Source organism: Homo sapiens, chromosome 4, assembly GCF_000001405.40.
Source record: "Homo sapiens chromosome 4, GRCh38.p14 Primary Assembly".
Taxonomy (NCBI): domain Eukaryota; kingdom Metazoa; phylum Chordata; class Mammalia; order Primates; family Hominidae; genus Homo; species Homo sapiens.
This window is the reverse complement of record NC_000004.12, coordinates 139,706,176-139,729,092: the sequence shown is the minus strand read 5'-3', so window position 1 is coordinate 139,729,092 and position 22,917 is coordinate 139,706,176. Positions and strand designations below refer to the sequence as shown.

Below are 22,917 nucleotides of genomic sequence, written 5' to 3'. Positions count from 1 at the left end.
AGCTATTGTACAAACAAACCTCTATCCCTCTCACCTACATAAGGTGTGCGACAAGGAGCCATGCTAATCTCTCTCAGGCAGTGACAAATGGAGCTGCCGAGGGCAGCTGGGCTCTGTAAATCCTCTCCTCAGCCAATCCCAGGAAATCTCAGGTGTGCCTGATGTTTTGAGTGATGGCTTTTGATATGTGTGCTGTGACCAAAGACACAAAGAAGGCCCAGGGCAAGCAGGCAGAGCTCAGCTGTGCAGCCCAAGGGTGTTCCCACACGGTGAGGCCAGCCCGACCCTGGGGAGCACAGGGTGTGGGAAGAGTGTGAGAAGAGACACGTCAAGATGATGCCCCCAGACAAGGAGGTGAGAGGTCAGGGGAGACCCCTCAGAATCCAGAGCATGGAGAGAGCTGGGGCTTCTTGGGAAAGACAAGGGAAATGGGAAGCCGTGACCTGTGGATCATTCCGTAGCAACTGTGTGTACCAAAAGATGATGAGGGATGAGGGGAGGATCACTTTCCTCAGGGCCAAGATTTGTCCGTTCTTTTGCATGTGATGTGATTTTGGAAAAACCACTAACTTCCCTCTTCATCTGCCAGATTAGGTTTTAATAATTTCCCAGCCCACCTCATGTAGCTGCTTTAAGGATCACATAAGATCATGTGTATAAAATGTTTTGGAAGCTGTATGTGCTGCACACATGTATGTGGGGGCCTGTCACGTGGCCCTGGTGTCAGCGAATGTCATGTGAGAGCTGCAGCCACATGGCCCAGCCAGGTCAGTGGAGCGTCTTGCCTGTACCTGAGGAGGGTGCAGATTTAGTGCAGGTTGTCCAAGTGCAGGTCTACAAGGAGTAAGTGCTCAACTTTTTTTTGTTTGTTTTGTTTTGAGACAGGGTCTCACTTTGTCACCCAGGCTGGAGTGCAGTGGCATGATCTCGGCTCACTACAACCTCTGCCTGATGAGCTCAAGCAATCTTCCCACCTCAGCCTCCAGAATAGCTGGGACCACAGGCAAACACCATCACGCCTGGCTAATTTTTGTATTTTAGTAGAGATGGGGTTTCACCATGTTGGCCAGGCTGGTCTCGAACTCCTGGGCTCAAGCAATCTGCCTGCCTCGGCCTCCCAAAGTGCTGGGGTTACAGGTGTGAGCCACGGCACCCGGCCAGCTCTCAGTTTTTCGTTTTGAGAGTGAATACTGCCAGATCAACACCAATCTTGGTTGCTGCAGCATTGAAAGTGTCCTCACACTTTGGATTTTGGAAACAGATTTTGGGTTTCCTGAAAGGACATGTGAGGGAAAACAGAAGGATTTGGGATCTTACATATTTTGGGAAACTTTAAAATGATTCTCAGTAGACTTGGCAATCAGAGCAGTGCAGGTTGAAAGTAGGCATGAATTCACATTTAATGCCGTATTCTCCAAAAGTTCAAAGCACATAACCTCTCATCCATTCACAAAGGTTAGACAGAACTTAGAAACATTCTACATCATGAAGTCCCATCATTTTACAAATGAGGAACTGAGGTTATGTGGGGAAACTGAGCTTATGTGATTTATATGAGATCACAGAGCTAGAGAGAGACAGAGCCAGGATGGAACTGAGGACTCCTGATTCCTGACTCCAGGATACACCCTCAGTCCCCCACAGGCTGCCAGGGGCTCATTCCTAGTCGTAAGTGGGACAGTTAAATTCTTATATTATATGGGAAGTTTGACTGAGGAGAAGCTGTTAAATGCTCAGCTTACTCTCAGTAATGCCCTTCTATTGCTGCCTAAAAGATTTGTGTGGTTTCTTGTCTACACTTTAATGGTCTACACAATCAATTAATTTCAACAGTTTTCTGTAGAACATTATGGTAGGAACCATGGGATGGGGTCAACGAGTCAGAGGCTGTTTTTTCTTTGGTTGCCAGAATACTGGCTGGCCTTGTAGAGAAAGAGAAAAAGAAAAGAAAATTATAGAGCAGCCCAGGAACAAACACAAGAGAAAAAATTGAAATAAACACAGGCGTTAAGAGGTGGTCAGTGTGTGTTATTTTTATAATGAACACTCTAAAGAACAGGGACCTTGTTGTATATTCTTTATAGCCCTTGCAGATGAAAGGTGCTTAATGAATATTCAGCAGCTGCAGGGAGCAGGTTAAACAACATCCCCAAGGTCACGCAAGCTACTTGACGGCAGACCTAGAACTGAAACCTCTTTCTCTGCTCTTTCTACATCACTCTTATTTTCTTTCCCTTTGCACATACAGCATGATAATGATAATAGCCTTCCCAGCATATTGGTAGCAACACTAGCAGTGCAGCATCCCCGTGAGTGGAAGAAGAAAGACTAATATGCAGGCCTCCTGGTCTGCTGGTATATGTGGAATCCCACATGGTTTCCTCAAAGCAGTAAATGCTGAATAGTTTACATGTAGAGATGTATTTTACAGGCAGTGTGGCTTCATGGGAATAAGATTAGCCTTTTTTGTATAACTCCTGAGGATGTCATCTTCCTATGCCCAAAGCATCCACTTAGGTCATTAAAAAGCAGTTGCTTGTCCCTTTCAACTCAGTCCCCACAGCCTAAGGAAAGCATGCAGGCTGATGTTGGGCAGTCCATGTCAAAACCCCTTCCCTCAGCACGCATTCCTCATGAGCCAGCAAGTCCACACATCAGAAATACATACAGATGTTCACCAAAGGCATGTACAGGAATGTTCATAGCAGTCACATTTGAAACACAAAAACTAGAAACACCAAAGGTGACATCACTAGTAGAATGGGTAAATAAATTATGGTATATTCATATGATGGAATACTATCCAACAGTGAGAATGAACAAGCAACAAGAATTCACATCCACGTGGATGAATCTCACAAATACAGTGGTGAATGCAAGAAGCCAGACACAAAAGCAGCATCATGTGAATCCTTTTCTGCAAAGTACAAAAGCAGACATAACTGCTCTATGTTGTTAAAAGTTAGGACAGTGATGCCCATGGGTCAAGGGAGAGTGATGACTGGAAGGGGCACGAGGGGCTCCTGGCAGCGTTCTGTTTCTTGATGTGGGGGCTGGTGGCCCTGAGTGTGTTCGTTTTGTGAAAACCTACCTGACTCTATCCTTAGACTTTGTGCACTTGCCTGTATGCATATGATTCTTCAACACAAAGTTTAGTTTTGGGGAAAACACTACCTTCCTCGGAACTGCTGGGATATTGAATTGTGTGCTTGCTCCCTATCTCACCTCTCCACCCCTCTTGTGTTCTGTTGTTCTAGCAGTTGCAGCAATCACATCTACCCCGGCAGCACCTCCAGCCACAGCGGAATCCATACCCAGTGCAGCAGGTCAATCAGTTTCAAGGTGAGGCCAGTGCAACCTCTCTCATTTTATACCTTCCAGTGGTGAAGCGTAAGTGAATGTGTAGCCAGAGGCATTGCCTTACTGGCTGTATTTGTGTCCAGGAAATACTCAAAATATGTAACTACTGGTAGGTTAAGAGTACTAACCAATCAGAATGGATTCCTAGAGGCCTCCTGTTGTGCCAGGCATTAACCTTTTGGTCACTGAGTCACAGAGAGGTTCTAGAAGGCACAGGGAAGGGTCAGGGTAGCTGTCGGAGTTGGGACTAGAACAGCTGTTCTTTACCAAAGGTACATAGTATTGTAATAGTTTAACAACCAGTAAAGATATACTGGTGCCTGTTGGCTGCATATCAATTTTGTTTATGTTTAGATCGTCATCTTAGTGACTACAGGGGCAAAAATCTTGTGCCACATCTTTTTTGCTTATCCCAGCAGGTCACCTGACCAAAGCCCTTACCTCTAAAGCTGAAGTGGAAGAATCTGGCTTGCAACAACCACTAGTCTCTTTTGAATGTAGAAGACAAATAGGGCCTTGAGGCTGATTGAACTGATCCTGTAGCCGTTTGCGGGAATCCTAAATCATGACCTAGTAGCAGTGGGCGCACTGTATGTCAGTGTTGGCACTCCTTTATAAATGTGGAAGGCCCGTTCAAATATCAAACCCTTCCATCTCTAATAGAGAGAGCCCTTGGCCGGGTGCGGTGGCTCACGCCTATAATCCTAGCACTTTGGGAGGCTGAGGTGGACGGATCACTTGAGGCCAGGAGTTCAAGACCAGCCTGGCCAACATAGCAAAACCCTGTCTCTCTAAAAATGCAAAAAATTAGCCAGGAGTGGTGATGCATACCTGTAATCTCAGTTACTTAGGAGGTTGAGGCACAAGAATCGCTTGAACCCGGGAGGTGGAGGTTGCAGTGAGCTACTCCAGCCTGGGCAACAGAGCGAGACTCTGTCTCAAAAAAAAAAAAAAAAAGACCCTTGAGGGTCTTATATGGGGTGAAGAAAATAGCCTGAGGAGCCTTCCTAATCTTATCCACAGGAGTTTTCAGGGGGCTACAGGGGTCACCTAGCAGCAGAAATCCTAATCCCATCCTCTGCCCATTTTGTGGGATCTAGATCAATGTGTCCTAGCTTCTCAAAAGTTACCTATTCCTTTAAGTGTCTGCAAAAAGCTATGAAGCCTCTTGCAGAGAAACATATAATATGTAAATATATACAAACTTTTATATAATTTCACAAGTATCCCTGAACTTTATCAATAGACTGGGTGAAAATTTTCTGATCTAAGGTAGCATTTTTAACTTCTCAGATTGCAACACACAAGGTTATTGGAAACAACTTAGTGGGTCACAACCAACATTTTCAAAATGAAATACAACAGAAATTACCAGAGCATATCAGAAACTTTTCTTTCTGTTTTAAACCCACATGTATATATCCTAGATCATGAACTGTGAGCTGTAGTTTACAGTCTGAAAGCCATTGATATTTACTGACAGATCACATTGAAGATCACCTGTAAAAATACTGGGTCTTGAGTAGCTACCACTCCCTTCCACCTCTGGAATGCTTATATCACATTAGATCCTTTGGCCTTGACACAGGGAAGGACAAAAGGAATTGAGTTATCCACAGGTGTTCTGTGCACTAAATCAGTGCCAGTGGTTTTTGAAGAATTATGTTTCTAATTTTGCCATGGGTAGCTTCGGAAGAGTGGGGACTAGTCATCATTACATAGTTGTTGTTGCAGATACAGAGCCCTCCTTTGTATCTGTAGTTCTCAAACTTTAGCCTGCACTGAAAGCACCAGCGGAGCTTGTTAAAACATACACAGTGTTTCTGATTCAGTAAATCTGAAGCGGGGCTTGAGAATCTGCATTTTTTACAAGTTCCCAGGAGTCACTGATTTTGCTAGCTAGGGAACCACGCTTGAGAGCTGCTGCATTATATTATGAACTAATTAAAAACATAAAAGCTGATAAACCCAGCATAATGTCTCTTGAGTTTTCCAGGTTCATAACTCATGTATTATTTGTGGGGGAAAAGGGGAATTATTTAATAATTCCCCTGTGTTACAGAACATAGACACATATGAGCTATTCTGAATGTTTTGGGTCCAGTTAAAAACTTCTATTCCAGGCAGGTGCAGTTGCTCACTCCTGTAATCCCAGCACGTTGGGAGGCCGAGGCGGGCAGTTCACCTGAGGTCGGGAGTTCGAGACCAGCCTGACCAACATGGAGAAACCCCGTCTCTACTAAAAATACAAAAAATTAGCCAGGCATAGTGGCGCATGCCTGTAATCCCAGCTACTCCGGAGGCTGGGGCAGGAGAATTGCTTGAACTCAGGAGGCAGAGGTTGTGGTGAGCCAAGATCGTGCCATTGCACTCCAGCCTGGGCAACAAGAGCAAAACTGTGTCCCAGAAAAAAGAAACAAAAAAAACCAGAGACAAAAATTAAAGTCACCTGAAATCCCACCATCCAGAGATGATCAATCCTATTCTTTTGTTTCTATATAAATAGACACCCACAAAAATTGGGATTGTACTGTACATGGGTTTTTGAAGCTGACTTTTCCACTTAACAGATCCTGATGTAATTCTTGTTTATACTTCAGAAGCAAATTATTTCGCACTCATATAGATATGATATCATCCTCAACCAATAAGATACTATTTTCTTTGGAGGTGAGAGAGAATTCACCTTTGGGGCTAAATTAGAAAGAAATGGCTGATCACTTTGCATTTTCTATTCGTGACGTGGAACACGGTTCAGTAGAGAATACTATCAGTAAAGCCAGTGTGACATTTTAGGGTCCTTGAACTGATTGGTTTGAGATATATAATTTGTTTTACTATCTTCAGTATTTTCATGTGTTTACAGACACCCTAGATAGCATGATGTTATGCATCTGGGAAAATAGCAAACTGAAAAATAAGAAATATCATTCTTGGAGAGAAGTTTTGTTAGGTATAACTTGCATGAGAACCTATCCCATACTCTCACCATTATACATTTCAAAGGTCTTAATGACTGTCTTTCCCTCATTAGGTTCTGGATCTCTGGGCAATGTTACATGACTATGGGGAAATACTTATTTTTTTCACAAATACAGGCTTCTTGTGAGTGAAAATAGAACATAGACTTTTTTAGGAAAAAGTTGGATACTATCATCTGTATTTGAATATACAAGATTTTCTTGGACATTGTGATGTTAACCAGCAGACAAGAAAATTAGATTACAGTGTCTCACAATAATATCTGCTTTAGACCAAAAAAAGAAAAAGAAAACATAATCTGTTGTTTAACACATGTAGTAATCATGTAAAGACAAGTTAATTCCTTGGACACATCTGAATTTTTTTCCTTTGTATATTTAAAATCACGGAAGGCATAAAACTAGATTAATAAAAGTCCTTTTATTTCCCTTAGGTGAAAAAGAATGTGGCAATTGCTGATTTTAAAATGCCTTTTAAAAATAAGAATTACATCAAGATAGTGCAGTCATTTACACTAAATAAAAAATAAAGGTTGGCTTGGATTAATGTATCACTGCCTATTAAAAAGCATTGTAACGCTTCTGCCCTCTAAAGAAAGGAACCTATTTCTCATTCACAAAATTATTCCAGACAGTATCTAGTCCTTTACCATATCCATTATAAATATACCCCAAAATGGCCAAATTATAGATGTCCTTTCATCTATTTCTAGCAGCCCATCAGACTGTTTATATAATTTGGGTCTATCCAATCAATCTCTGACTCAGCAATATTTTTCCCTTAAACTTTTTTTATAAACAACTCAATAACCCATTTCACCACAGTTGATCTTATTGGCCATGCAGCCGATAAAAATTTAGTCGTTAAGGTCACAAAACTGCATGACAATATTACAAGTTGCAGTATATACTACCTTCCAGTGTTTTACTAGGAACTTTCGATTTTTCAAAAAATCACTTAGATATAATGAAGCTTAAAAAAATATATGAAAACATTTCTAGGGATTTCCCCCAGATCTTTCAGGTTTCCTGATAGAAATCGTTTCATTTTTCAATGCAGTATGATATTGATCTCAAGCCACAAAAACTTGAGACATAATCAAAATTCCAGTAATTTTCTTTCTTAAAGAAAGGAAGAAACTATGGAGACATATTTGCAGCCCAGAAATCAATAGCCACATCAGGAAGACAAAAACATGCTTCAGTTATCTACCAGGGTGCCAGGTTTAACAAGGTTAGACTATTCTCATCTGGTTTCTCATCACAGTTCCAGGTGGGATCAAATTTGCTTAGAATATTGACTGGCTCCCATGCTGCACCTTCTTTAAATGTCCAGGAAAAAAACTATTTTTCTTCTTCTCATAGACTCAATCATTAGCAGGGACATAGAAAAATCCGTTTTTGTGTACCTCCTAGACCTTTGCAACGTTGACTGGTGTTCTACTGGCGACATTTCCATTCCCTTGGCTGTTTGGAAATTTCCTGGTAACATGTAAAGAAGGACTCACTCAAATGCCTAATTAAGGTTGAATGACTTGGTATGGACACTCTGGCCACCTTTTAAACAGCATTATTAAAATTGTGTTAGCAATTTGCTGAGAGAAATAGTCGTTGCCGATTTGAAGGAATGGACTTTGCTGTAGAAATGCGTAAAGTTTATGGCCAAGTCGCACGTAGCAGGATGATTTCTTTTTCTAGCTCAGGAAGCTGGCCAGTTTGCAATGACAAGTTATGATTCAGAGAATCTGGAGCATGTTGAAATCTACAGAGTGGATCCGAAAAATGTCCTATCTGTCAAAATAGCTGCTTAGCAGAAGCAGTGGCCTTTAACCTCTCAAATCCTACTCAAGTCTTAAGGGAAATTAGTCTAATGGTCTTTATTGATAGTATTCTCTACTGAACCATGTTCCACTTCACAAATAGAAAATACAAAGTGATCAGCCATTTCTTTCTAATTTAGCCCCAGAGGTGGATTCTCTCTCACCTCCAAAGAAAATAGTATCTTATTGGTTGAGGATGATGTCATACCTATAAGAGTACGAAATAATTTGCTTCTGAAGTATAAACAAGAATTACATCAGGATCTGTTTAGTGGAAAAGTCAGCTACAAAAACACATGCACAGTACGATCCCAATTTTTGTGGGTGTCTATTTATATACAAATAAAAGAATAGGAATGATCATCTCTGGATAGTGGGATTTCAGGTGACTTTAATTTTTGTCTCTGTATTTTTTAACACTTTCAAAATTTTCACAATCAGCATATGCTATAATCAGAAAAATAATCATTTTTGTTACAGATTTATTATCAGAGTAGATCCTTTCATATAAAGGAATTTTGTCATTCCCAAAGAAAATTCCAACATCTTGTTGCAGTATATTGCTTATGGAGAAGAGTGAGTGGTATGTGTCCTCTTTTTCACTGCAGGTTCTCCCCAGGATATAGCAGCCGTAAGAAGCCAAGCAGCCCTCCAGAGCATGCGAACGTCACGGCTGATGGCACAGAACGCAGGCATGATGGGAATAGGACCCTCCCAGAACCCTGGGACGATGGCCACCGCAGCTGCGCAGTCGGAGATGGGACTGGCCCCTTATAGCACCACGCCTACCAGCCAACCAGGAATGTACAATATGAGCACAGGCATGACCCAAATGTTGCAGCATCCAAACCAAAGTGGCATGAGCATCACACATAACCAAGCCCAGGGACCGAGGCAACCTGCCTCTGGGCAGGGGGTTGGAATGGTGAGTGGCTTTGGTCAGAGCATGCTGGTGAACTCAGCCATTACCCAGCAACATCCACAGATGAAAGGGCCAGTAGGCCAGGCCTTGCCTAGGCCCCAAGCCCCTCCAAGGCTGCAGAGCCTTATGGGAACAGTCCAGCAAGGAGCACAAAGCTGGCAACAGAGGAGCTTGCAGGGCATGCCTGGGAGGACTAGTGGAGAATTGGGACCATTCAACAATGGCGCCAGCTACCCTCTTCAAGCTGGGCAGCCGAGACTGACCAAGCAGCACTTCCCACAGGGACTGAGCCAGTCAGTCGTGGATGCTAACACGGGCACAGTGAGGACCCTCAACCCAGCTGCCATGGGTCGGCAGATGATGCCATCGCTCCCGGGGCAGCAAGGCACCAGCCAGGCGAGGCCAATGGTCATGTCTGGCCTGAGCCAGGGAGTCCCAGGCATGCCAGCGTTCAGCCAGCCCCCAGCACAGCAGCAGATACCCAGTGGCAGCTTTGCTCCAAGCAGCCAGAGCCAAGCCTATGAGCGGAATGCCCCTCAGGACGTGTCATACAATTACAGTGGCGACGGAGCTGGGGGTTCCTTCCCTGGCCTCCCGGACGGTGCAGACCTTGTGGACTCCATCATCAAAGGCGGGCCAGGGGACGAGTGGATGCAGGAGCTTGATGAATTGTTTGGTAACCCCTAATCAAGAGAGGCCCCAAGATCCACAACTCGAGTGGTTAAAGCTTAAAAAGTGAAAAAGAAACAGGATGTTGACCCATCCTTGTTTTTTGTTTTTTTGACCCACGTAAACTGAGCAAAACTGCAGCTGGCTGACAATGGAAGATCCAGGTGCCAATCCACAGCCCCACCAGGCCTCATTTCACCTGATTTTCACACAGCAATCGAGATGAGACGCCATGCAGATCCCGGCTGCGAGAGAGGGAGACACCCGGAGGAGCAGGTGGGAAGATGAAGCCGGCCAGAGCCCCTCTGCCCAGCATGCCCTGTGATCGCCTGGCCCAGCAGGAGCTGCTTCAGCCGAGAGGGACTATTACCCAAGAGAGGTATCCTCAGCCCCTCCTGCCCCAGGTCGGGAGACAGCAGCTTTGGAGACACAAAAGAGACAGAGCCTCAGCCAGGGAGAGTGAGTCCCCCAGAAGAGGCTGGGTGGTTGCACAGGCCAGGTGCACAGGTTGGAAATGCACTGAACTCTGGGTGCCGAGAGATGTAAGGCTTTGAGACATGCTACTGAATTTGGAGGGCAGGCACGAAGAACAGTGAGATTGTCAAAAGGAGACAACCACAGATCCTACAGGACTGTCTGTCTCCTGCCCCATGATGACCCTCAGGAATTGCAAAGGCTCTGCTGTCACAAGGAGAGCAGGCTGAGTTTGGAGCAGGGTCCATCCGGCAGTCCTGGGACGGCTTCCCTCTGCTGGTGCCCCTGGTGGCAGTCCCTCCAGGTGGGGCTGGAGCCTGCTGGCGCCCAATACAAAACCCATACATCCAGGTGGGTCACATCTACTTCTGGCGGCCGCAGGGCAGGGAAACCCCTACTGGACCCTGTGTGTCTGCCAGCCTGGAGCCTTTGTCTCCAGCCCTGCCTTTATTCCTCCTTGCCTCCACACCAGCCTCCCCTTGCTTCTCCTTACAGACTATCCAAGAAGTGAAGCTTATGTCTTTAGGGAGCCTTGGGCAGAGTCCACATAAATGCAGGAAGAACTTAGACAATGCCTGAAATGCAAAGGCGACACTGGAGTCTTCTTTCTCTAACGTGTAGCGTTGAATGAATATCTGCCTGGAACCAAGAGGGCTGCTCTGATGTTTGGGAGTCGGTTTTTTGTGAGCCACATCTGATATTTCTGATATCCCCAGGAAGGAGTGGCCTGGAGGTCACTGGTTCAGGCTCCCTTTGGGCGAAATCCTGGGAGTGATGCTCTAAAAATCCACCTTTCCCATCATCCCTACTCATCAGAAAGACAAATATAAAATCCCAGAGAGGTGGAGGAGCTAAAAAAGCAATTGCTCCACCTTACAAATTTGGATAGAAAGGAGATGTAGTTTATTTCATATGGGCAAAGTAGTCCTCTTCCAAAGTCCTGTACAGTTGTTCTCTGCAATTGACGCACATCTGCCCTAAGCGAAATCTGTCAGAAGGAATCAACAAGGCTCCTTGCCTCCCCTCCCAATCCCCCTTTTGGAGGACTTGTGGCTTCGGTGTCGTCCTAAGTGAGAGTGGCGTGTGCTTTTTTCCTGTCCCCTCCTCCCTCCGTGTCCTAGACGCTGGCTGCCTTCTGTGCACTCCCAGGCAGATCACTACGGAAGAGTCGGAGCCTGTGGGGTTGGACTGGCCACACTCAGTCCTGAGAAGGCGAGTTGCCATGGAAAGCTGGGGGCAGAGGTGTTTTTGGAGAGGAGGCGGCAGGCAAACATTGCCTTTGACTTGCTCTCCGCGTACCCGGGGTTGTAGAGCTGCTCAGGAAGGGGCAGGATGTAAGGCCAGAGGTGCCTGGTGGGTGAGAAGCCCAGGCAGGGGCTGGGCGCCCTCTCCGAAGAGGTGGCAGCAGGGTGACCCTGAACTCCCCAAATGGGGAGTGATGCCACTGGGGAAACTGAGTGGATCAAAGAGATGAAACCAAAAAAAAGCAAACAAACAAATGAGAAGACACAAAACATAATTACCTTTTCCTGAAAGGTACAGGAAATAAATATATAAGCAATGATGAGAAACTGGAGGTGGCTAATGGAAGTGAGACAGACAGGGGTGGGGGGCTCCATTATCTTTTAAAAGCTTCCTCCAAATGCTCAGTACTGGGACCAACTAATAGGTAGATTTTAATATGGTGGTTTTGTTTTGGTTTTGTTTTTACTACGGTGCTGATGTATATGTAATGTCTAAAAAAAGTTATTTGTACATAAGTTTTTACAATACTGCAGATATCACTGGGTCTACTATCTGTAAAAAATATACATATAAATATATATATACTGTTTGTTTAAAATAGAGTATTTTTATTTCATTCCTTAACTCATCATCACAGCAGTGGTATTGCACTTCAGATGACATCTAATTACTAATTTGTACTGTATGACCTCTGGCAACTTGCTCCATTTTATTCAGATTTTTCTAGTTTTCTGTTTTTACTTTGTACATTGAGCATTGCTTATTTCCTTTTAAGAAATGTACAGAACGCTGAAATGTAGAAATGAAGTGATGTTGACATACCACTTTTAAAGAAAACAAAAACAAAAATAAAAGATTATCTGAATCAATCCAAAGTATAGTTTATTTTAAGATCCTCACTGGAGCTCCAATCTTAATTAAGCAGACATATTATTCCTGGGTTTTAATTAACTGCAGTTCTTTTCTCAAAATTTTGATATCATTCTTTAAACATTTATTTAATGGGAGAGATCAATCATTCCCAGCCTTTGCATTCAACTGCACAACTGATGATACTTTCTGAATTTACTGCCGCACTCTGAAGGATGTGGCAAAGGGAAGGGAGGAAAGTCAACTTTGCATGGAACATAGTGCAATCCATTTGTAGATTCAGTACCATAACAATTCCATTTCCAACTAGTTCATCTGGAGGTAGGGAGGCTCCACTGGAAAAATAAATATTTTTGTCAAAAAAAGAAAAATCGGAATATATTGAGGGGAAGTAATAAAGGTTCTTGTTCCACTGTAGTGAGCACTGTCAGTAAACAGCCTCCACCACCCCACTCCTACCAGGCCACTTCTTTGCATCTCAAACCATGGCCTGGCTTCACCTGCACCCACAGAATTGAAAGTGCTTAGAAGTTTATACCCCTCTGGATTGACTTTAGCCAGTGACTCACTGGTGCAGGAGTATAAAAGCCCAGTTGACTTGTCTGAACAAACTCAGATATAATTTTGCTCCAGAGCTCTACTGCAAGATCAGGCAAAGGCTGGGACTTGGTTTAAAGGTGCCCCCCAGACCGGGCACTGTAGCTTACACCTGCAATCCCACCCAGCACTTTGGGAGGGCAAGGCAAGCGGATCACTTGAGCCCAGGAGTTTTGTCAGAGGCGTGTGAACCAGAGCAACTCCATGTTAAATAGGAGCTGGGTAAAATGAGACTGAAACCTACTGGGCTGCATTCCCAGACGGTTAAGGCATTCTAAGTCACAGGATGAGATAGGAGTTCAGCACAAAATACACGGCATAAAGACCTTGCTGATAAAACAGTTTGCAGTAAAGGAGCCAGCCAAAGCCCACCAAAACCAAAATAGCGACGAGGGTGACCTCTGGTCGTCCTCACTGCCACACTCCCACCAGTGCCATGACAGTTTACAAATGCCATGGCAAGGTCAGGAAGTTACCCTATATGGTCTAAAAAGGGGAGGCATGAATAATGCACCCCTTGTTTAGCATATCATCAAGAGATAACCATAAAAATGGACAACCAGCAGCCCTCGGGGCTGCTCTATGGAGTAGCCATTCTTTTATTCCTTTACTTTCTTAATAAACTTGCTTTCACTGTGCACTGCAGACTCACCCTGAATTCTTTCTTGCGCAAGAGCCAAGAACCCTCTCTTGGGGTCTGCATCAGGACCCCTTTCCTGTAACACATTTCTCTGTCCTGCAACATATTTCTGGCAACCACCGAAGGGACAATAGTGTAGAAACCTAGACCCAACAGCTACCTTTGGGTAAGTATTGGAGTCCTCTAACATATTTCTGGAGAACGATGGGACGATACTGGGGAGACACCCCCTAACACAAAGGAAATAGACTGCAGCACTGATTGGAAGACTTTGGGTAAGTGGTGGGGTACCTGGGTAAAGAATGGGATTGGGTTAGAGGCCCAGCTTAGTGGAGTTAGAGTCTCTCCTAAGATAGAGGTGGTTAAAGGCTCCCCCTTAATAAAAGGCAAGGATGCTTGACCGACCTCTGGTTAGAGGCCCGACTTAGGAGAGTTAGAGTCCCTTCTAAGATTTAGCGGGTTAGAGGCCCCTCTTCGGTAAAGTCCCTCTCGGCTAAGAACAGGTTCGGCACTATGGGATGTTAACTGCTATTCTCTTTGGATTAATCTCCCTTGTACTTTGCTGATGGCTATGGGTGACAGAATTAGGAATGTACAGGATCCTGGGACATGGGGAGCTTTTTCCTCCCTAACAAGGGAAATTTGAGAGCTGGTAGGATTACTGGAAAAGATCCTTGCTCCACCGACAGCAGCCACCTGAACTTTTTAGTGTCGCTGCAATGGGTGGTTCTTTCTCTGGCCTCCCTGATCATTTCACCTTCCCCGCCCTGCCACAGGCAATGTTTTTCTCTCTCTCCTTTCTCTTTCTTTTCTATTACTCAGGGCGACCATCTTGCCCAGAGACCACATGTTGAAACTCCTAGTCGGAGGTTAGATTAAAGATGACAGGGCCCACCTGAGGGCAAATTTAAGCCTTGCCAGTTTGATATTGGATGCTAAGCAGCCTGGTTAATATCTATGTTTTATTACGCGTATTTTGCTTTGGCCAGAACAAAAAGAAATACTTTTCCTTTATGATGCGGCTTGGCCCCCAAAGGCAGTTGTGCCACAAGCCAGATCACTAGGGCCCCTCAGGGAAAGAGAACCCAGAAGCTTAGCATGCTGGCAAAAGGGTAGGAATTTCTTCCCAGTCAGATTTCTGGCTTCTGTCTCTGTGTGCAAATAGTTAAATGAATGGGGGGAAAAAATCAGTGTTTATGTCCTCTGTAAAGTTTTGATTAATGCCAAAAAGAATTCTAAGGCTAGTCTTAAGCTGGTGTATTTTGTGCCATGAATTCGTTTTTCTGTGTAAAGGGGTACTTTAGGATAAAACATGGGCTTAGAATACCTGTAAGCCCGCTTTTCAGGATGACCTCACAAGCTGGTCAGTAATAAACTTGGCTGCAGGTCCCTGAAACAAACAAAAAACTGGATGAAATCTCCACCTTGTTTTATGTCCTTGGGAGCTTGACCTTTTAACCATGTGGTGGTACCTTCCCGTGGTCTCCACCTTCCAGGAAATAGGAATTTTAGGATTCATGTCATAGCTCTAAAAATCATATTAAATAGTTAAAAGCCTTTGCAAGCTCAAAATTAACTACTCTAGACTCTTCCTGGGAAAGGAACTGGAGACCACGCTTTGCTATAGCTCAGTAGCTAAGATCGTGCACTTTCATATTGGTAGCCAGGGTTCGATTTCCCCGCCTACCATTTCTGGTTTCATATCTGCATGACCTTGTCTATTCTCTTCTTCTCCATGGACTGTCTTAAATTTTCCTTTCACTAAGCACCTAGGAGGTTATCTCTGGTAGAGTTCAGAAGCTAGAAATATTGGCCGCTTGGCATTGTTAAAGTCAGGTAATAAGAGATCCAAAAGTATTTCTTTTTTAAAGAACACTATGGTTAGAAGTCAGCTTAATTAAAAGTAGATAAACAAGCAATAGATATATTTAAAAGGCCATTAATGATTTTCTCTTTTTGGAACTTGTTTTTCTGGAAAAAGGTTTTTTCTTCTCAGTCAACTGAATTATTTTTCTCCTTTTTTTTTTTTTTTTTTTTTTCTGTCTTGCCACTCTTAATGAACACACGAGAGGCCCTAAGATAACTTCTGGTAGCCTGGGACTCCTTGGGAAAAACAAAGGAGGTGTCACAGACTCATTGGGAAAAACAAAGGAGGTGTCACAGACTCCGTTTTGGGAAAAAACCTGTTTTTATCTTGAAACCCCAGGAATTAAAAGCAGATGGATCCCTCTCAAAATCAAATGCTCTGTTCTGTTTTGTATTGTGTTATCTGATGGTTTTGAGTTTGGGGGGTATCAGAAATTACTTTGCATTTTGAGACAGCTTTGCTGTGAAATAACTAGGTAGGAAATATACTTTAAGGGATGGCTAATAGTAGTTATGGAGGGATACTTTGACTCCGCACACTTGGAACAGAGAAGCATGCTTTGCTTTGTTTTTCAGAGTCAAGGAAACTTTTCTTTTGAGCTATTTATAGCTTGTAGCAATTGAGTAAAGCATACTGCTGTGAACAAAATTTGGAACATATTTGTTTCTCTCTAACCTGACTTCAGAATTTGGAAATTAGTTGTGAGTATTCTTAACTTATGGCAATATACTTATTTGCATAAATGCAATACGAATCTGTTTTCTTTTGTAACAGGACACAATTGGAGAAATGGGTCATTTTACCAAGGCTTTGACTGGAATGGTGTGCTTTCCTTTAAGGAATCAAACTTGACTTGTAGAGCCAATAAAAACCCTTTGGGGAACTGGCCTCATACCTTGCCTACACAGTCCCTGTATAGGGTTTCTGACCTATGGTAAGTAAAGAATTTCACTTTCTCACAGGTCCAGGAGCCCCAAGTTATCTTGGGACCTCAAAAGGACAGGAATTTACCTAACTCATAGGTATTTCAGGGTACAAACCCATGGCAGGGCTCGGCTTTTTAAAAAGTCTTATCTGAGATTCCTTATGAAACAGAGTTCCATCAAAGCCAATTAAAATGCCTGTGTGAAAAATAATTATCCTTGCTGTACTTTATACAAATAATCAGGCCAAGTATAATAAAGCAAATCAGTCTTACCATAATTCGTCTTTAGTAAAAATGGGAAACTGGAGCGAGAACTATTATGTTTCAAGAACTATGGTACACTTGTTATTAAATTCTAGTCTCACTAGTTGTTTTTAAGTTTGTTTCTGCAATTTAAGCTAACCCTGTTTATTCCTGTGAACTAACCAGTGATCTCTAACTGCTGCTCAGAGGAAACAAGAGGGATGGGTAATGTAAAAGTCTGGATCAGTATTCTAATTCTGGGCACATTGCAATCAGCTGCCAACCCCATATCAGCTTGGTTTCAACAGTTGCACAGTTGATGGAAAGCCTTCTAATTTAGCTTGCTTGGAATAACTTTACTTATTTTGCTTTACTCTTGTGGAATACATTACTGCTATACTCTTTGTGTAGGAATACAGAACAAGCTTACTGAATGTTTTCTTAAACTAAACACTTATTAATCTTCCAGATATCACCTCTTGTCAAAACTCAAGAGTCATGAATGGCCCTCACCATACTGATGCTTTCTGACTGAGCTCCTCTATACCCTGAATGCAAGAGACCCTCATAGTTAGGCAGGAATATCATCGCCCCTATTCAGCCTGAAGAAGTTACAGAAGATGGATCTTTGTCCCTCTGCAACCCTTAGGATTAAAGGTTCTCTTATAAAAGAAAGGGGGGAAATGTCAGAGGCGGCAACTCCATCTTAAATAGGAACTGGGTGAAATGAGGCTGAAACCTACTGGGCTACATTCCCAGACAGTTAAGGCATTCTAAGTCACAGGATGAGATAGGTCAGCACAAAATACATGTCATAAAGACCTTGCCGATAAACCAGGTTGCAGTAAAGGAGCTGGCCAAAATCCAGCAAAACCAAAATGGCGACGAGAGTGACCTCTGGTCTTCCTCTCTGCTACACTCCCACCAGTGCCATGAGAGTTTACAAATGCCATGGCAATACCAGGGAGTTACCCTATATGTTCTAAAAAGGAGAGACATGAATAATCCACCCCTTGTTTAGTATATCATCAAGAGATAACCATAAAAATAGGCAACCAGCAGCCCTCGGGGCTGCTCTATGGAGTAGCCATTCTTTTATTCCTTTACTTTCTTAATAAACTTGCTTTCACTTTGCACTGAGCACTCACTCGTGCAAGAATTCTTTCTTGCACGAGATCCAAGAACCTTCTCTTGGGGTCTGGATTGGGACCTTTTCCTGTAACATATTTCTCTGTCCTGTAACAGTTTGAGACCAGCCTGGGCAACATGGCGAAACCCCATCTCTACAAAAAATAGAAAACAGCCGGTCATGGTGATGCATTCCTGTAGTCCCAGCTACTCAGGAGGCTGAGGTGGGAGAATCACCTGAGCCCAGGAAGTCAAGGCTGCAGTGGATTGTGATCACGCCACTGCACTCCAACCAGGGTGACAGAGAGAGACCCTGTCTCAAAACAAAAAAAAAAAAAGGGAAAAATAAAGGAGCCCCCTATTTTGGCTTGTTCCCCTTCTCTGTCCTGTTACCCCCACTCTCTTTCTTTTTCCCCTATTGAGAGCCCTTTGTTAATAAATCACATAGATGTGAATCCACCTCTCCACTTCTAGGAAATGACCTAAGACTCCTCATCAAACTTTAAAAAGCTTAGTATCACAACATGTTTCAAAACTGGGTTAAGAGGAAAAGTAGGCCACAGAATAAAGTCATCATCAAATTTAGGCACAAAACAAAGGTAAGTTTTAATATACACAAACCAAAAGAAAGAATTTAATTATGAAGAAGAGGCCATCGCTACCCTTAGTGGGCTATGGTTCCAGACAGGTTGGCAAATAACACCATGTAGGAAACAGCATGGCATTGGGCTTTGTTCTTTTGATATTGGCTTAGCACTCTCCCAGAAAACATGGGAGAGAAAATGAACTGATTCCGGGGTGGAGGGAGGGCACAGGGGGACGCTGACACTAGAAGTAAAAACGTGAAGCTCTGAGAAGTGTTGATTACTCCTAGTTCCAATCAATTCAAGCCACATATTCTTACTTATACTCGTTTGGCACTGGATGAATGGAATACCTTTCTCTTTTCAAATGAGTTCTTACATGTAATCTTACTGACCTTTATAAAATCCTAGTGCAGTAAGTATGGTGATGGGGGAAGAAAGAGGAGAGAATAAACATTTTTCTAGAAAGTCACTAGACATCTGCCCCCAGTGAGAAAGACGTATTTCACTGGTGATTAAGGAACATTCCATAGCATTCAATGAGCTGTTTCTGCCTCTGACCATTCTTTTCAAGGAAGATTGTGTCTGGAGAAAAAGGGTGAACCTCAAATGACCTGATTTTGTTTATTAATGACTTTTTTGGCCATACCCCACCCACCTCCAACCCCTAAAAGAAAAGTGGAACAAGAAAAATTATCTGAAAATGGAACAGAGCTACCTCTTTGGGTAACCAGTCTTTACCTTTTAATTTTCTTTTTGATTTGTTTCCTCTTTTTGTAAATCCGATTTTGTCCTCAATTCTCTTTTAAGTACTAAGGACATTAAATTCCTCCACTAGTGTCCTCTGGAGTAGCTGGCACAGACACCTGCCTCATTTCATGCAACAGGTGGAGGTAATTACTGCAGCTCTCACACATGTGGGGCCCAGGCATCTGTGCCACACCCAGGACAGCTGCCAGGCCAGCATGGATGACTGTGGATCCATCAATACCACTGGATCTCTTAACAATGCTCAACACAGAAAATCTTCAGGGCTACCAAGAATCTGATTTTAGGTTTTAACTTCTCTTCAGATCCTTTAACTCTTTATTATAAACATTTTTAAACAACCAGGAAAGTAGAAATAATAATACAACGAATACCTATACACTTACCAATTAGATGTAATCATTAACACTTTGCCATAAATGCTTCACATATATATTTCGCAGAACCATTTTAAAGTACATCCAACCACTTTACCCCTTAATGCCTCAGGACACAGCTCCAGAGAATTAGGGCATTCTCTTCTCTAGCCACGATATAATTATCACACCTAACACAATTAACATTAATTCCCTAATATCATCTATCTGTATTCCATGCTTAAATTGTTTCCATTGTCTGGCCGGGCGTGATGGCTCACACCTGTAATCCCAGCACTTTGGGAGGCTGAGGTGGGCGGATCATGAGGTCAGGAGATCAAGACCATCCTGGCTAACACGGTGAAACCCAGTCTCTACTAAAAAATACAAAAAATTAGCTGGGCGTGGTGGCGGGCGCCTCTAGTCCCAGCTACTTGGGAGGCTGAGGCAGGAGAATGGTGTGAACCTGGGAGGCAGAGCTTGCAATGAGCAGAAATCGCACCACTGCACTCCGGCCTGGGCGACAGAGTGAGACTCCATCTCAAAAAAAAAAAAAAAAAAAAAAAAAAAAATTTTTTCCATTGTCTCACAAAGGTCATCCATAGTTGTTTTTTTCTTTTTCTTTTTCTTTTTTTTTTTTTTTTGAGACGGAGTTTTGCTCTCGTTGCCCAGGCTGGAGTGCAGTGGTGCCATCTCCGCTCACCACAACCTCCTCCTGGGTTCAAGTGATTCTCCTGCCTCAGCCTCCAGAGTAGCTGAGATTACAGGTGTGTGCCACCATGCCCGGCTAATTTTGTATTTTTAGTAGAGACGGGATTTCTTCATGTTGGTCAGGCTGGTCTCAAACTCTTGACCTCAGGTGATCCACCCACCTCGGCCTCCCAAAGTGCTGGGATTACAGGCGTGAGCCACCGCGCCTGGCCCATAGTTGTTTTTTTCTAACCAGAATTTGATCAAGGATCTCACATTGCCATTTGGTTTTTATGCCACTTAAGGACTAATTTATAGATTCAATGCCATCCCCATCAAGCTACCAATGACTTTCTTCACAGAATTGGAAAAAACTACTTTAAAGTTCATATGGAACCAAAAAAGAGCCCACATCACCAAGTCAATCCTAAGCCAAAAGAACAAAGCCGGAGGCATCACGATACCTGACTTCAAACTATACTACAAGGCTACAGTCAACAAAACAGCATGGTACTGGTACCAAAAAAGAGATATAGATCAATGGAACAGAACAGAGCCCTCAGAAATAATGCCGCATATCTACAACCATCTGATCTTTGATAAACCTGACAAAAACAAGCAATGGGGAAAGGATTCCCTATTTAATAAATGGTGCTGGGAAAACTGGCTAGCCATATGTAGAAAGCTGAAACTGGATCCCTTCCTTACACCTTATACAAAAATTAATTCAAGATGGAATAAAGACTTACGTGTTAGACCTAAAACCATAAAAACCCTAGAAGAAAACCTAGGCAATATCATTCAGGACATAGGCATGGGCAAGGACAAGGACTTCATGTCTAAAACACCAAAAGCAATGGCAACAAAAGACAAAATGGACAAACGGGATCTAATTAAACTCAAGAGCTTCTGCACAGCAAAAGAAACTACCATCAGAGTGAACAGGCAACCTACAGAATGGGAGAAAATTTTTGCAACCTACTCATCTGACAAAGGGCTAATATCCAGAATCTACAATGAACTCAAACAAATTTACAAGAAAAAAACAAACAACCCCATCAAAAAGTGGGCGAAGGACATGAACAGACACTTCTCAAAAGAAGACATTTATGCAGCCAAAAAATACATGAAAAAATGCTCATCATCACTGGCCATCAGAGAAATGCAAATCAAAACCACAATGAGATACCATCTCACACCAGTTAGAATGGCGATCATTCAAAAGTCAGGAAACAACAGGTGCTGGAGAGGATGTGGAGAAATAGGAACACTTTTACACTGTTGGTGGGACTGTAAACTAGTTCAACCATTGTGGAAGTCAGTGTGGCGATTCCTCAGGGATCTAGAACTAGAAATACCATTTGACCCAGCCATCCCATTACTGGGTATATACCCAAAGGATTATAAATCATGCTGCTTGCTATAAAGACACATGCACACGTATGTTTATTGCGGCATTATTCACAATAGCAAAGACTTGGAACCAACCCAAATGTCCAACAATGATAGACTGGATTAAGAAAATGTGGCACATATACACCATGGAATACTATGCAGCCATAAAAAATGAAGAGTTCATGTCCTTTGTAGGGACATGGATGAAACTGGAAACCATCATTCTCAGCAAACTATCACAAGGACAAAAAACCAAACACCTCATGTTCTCACTCATAGGTGGGAATTGAACAATGAGAACACATGGACACAGGAAGGGGAACATCACACTCCGGGGACTGTTGTGGGGTGGGGAGAGGGGGGAGGTATAGCATTAGGAGATATACCTAATGCTAAATGACGAGTTAATGGGTGCAGCACACCAACATGGCACATGTATACATATGTAACAAACCTGCACATTGTGCACATGTACCCTAAAACTTAAAGTATAATAATAATAAAATAAAAATAAAAAAATTTAAAAAAGACTCTTAATGCAGAAAAGTTCTTCTCTATCCCCCACTTCCTGACACTGACTTTTTAAGGCAATGAATCTGATTTCTAAAAATAAAATTGATCAATTTAGTAATATACAAAAAATGTACATGTAATTGTCAAACCGATCAGAAACCCACATCTCTGTGGCCAGAAATGGTTGCTCTCTGTAGCCAAATCTAATAGGAATGAAAATAATCAAAAGGTTGCCTGGTGACAATGCAATTAGAACAAAGGAAAATCTATCGTTTGAATGTTTAAAGTGACAAGGCCTTGATAGTCTGCTACACCCATAGCTTATTTCCACGTGTTTAACCAAAGTGTGTGTGTGTGTGTGTATGTGTGTGTTTTACCCTGCCCAGAGCCAATTTAAGTGCAAAACAGAAATTGCTTAAAAATCTTCAGTTGTAAGATTTGGAAAGTTTCTTTTCAACTTGCAAAGGACATGGTTATGAAGTAATTATGCCTTAGTATCAAAAATTTGCATTCTCATCCTTCATTGGTCTCAGTGTATAAAACAATTAAAATGTCACAATCCAAGTCACGATCATAACTGAAAAGAATATTAAGTAAAAAGACCATAGAATCATAGCTTTTTAGCATATTTGCCCTATTTTACCTAAAAGAAAACCAAGGCAGAGAGCTACAAAGTGCTGGGGTAGCACAGCCAGCAAGTGATAGGACAGGATAGGGTGGTCTGGTTCTGGAGTCTTCACTTCTTTGATTCACAACCTCCTACTGATGGGGTGCCTTGTCCAAATTCAAATGACCAATGAGTAGGGGAACCTGAGCTAGTATGCAAATGTGCCCACTCCCAGGCCAGTATATTCTCAGTGTGCTTTGGGG

General features: G+C 42.9%; 2 protein-coding genes across 8 annotated transcripts in view, besides 1 other annotated feature; one reads left to right on the top strand and one right to left on the bottom strand.

The window, feature by feature from the left end:
• Window positions 1-12,340, top strand: part of MAML3 (mastermind like transcriptional coactivator 3) — a 437,432-nt gene extending 425,092 nt beyond the window's left edge. Inside the window, exons 4-5 of one of the 2 annotated variants that reach the window (XM_047415929.1) lie at window positions 3,261-3,342; window positions 8,770-12,340. In XM_047415929.1, coding sequence (XP_047271885.1) covers window positions 3,261-3,342; window positions 8,770-9,770 — 1,083 coding nt within the window. In that variant the 3' untranslated portion in view covers window positions 9,771-12,340. Of the gene's footprint in view, window positions 1-3,257; window positions 3,343-8,769 lie in introns of both variants that reach the window. The other variant, NM_018717.5, reaches the window with a different exon arrangement.
• The window catches only part of MGST2 (microsomal glutathione S-transferase 2), an 88,800-nt gene that overhangs the window by 25,526 nt on the left and 40,357 nt on the right, over window positions 1-22,917 (bottom strand). The window contains exon 6 of one of the 6 annotated variants that reach the window (XM_017008213.2): window positions 12,328-12,676. The exons of the other annotated variants lie outside the window; for them this stretch is intronic. The gene's annotated coding sequence lies outside the window, so the exon portion shown is untranslated. Of the gene's footprint in view, window positions 1-12,327; window positions 12,677-22,917 lie in introns of those variants that run through there. 6 annotated transcript variants of the gene reach the window in all.
• Window positions 16,774-17,973: an enhancer, noted in NCBI's record as "BRD4-independent group 4 enhancer chr4:140632274-140633473 (GRCh37/hg19 assembly coordinates)". NCBI's record gives its function as "activates an origin of replication core promoter dependent on BRD2, P300/CBP, MED14 and CDK7 cofactors, and independent of BRD4, by STARR-seq in HCT116 cells {active_cell/tissue: HCT116}" and the evidence as "EXISTENCE:reporter gene assay evidence [ECO:0000049][PMID:35650434]".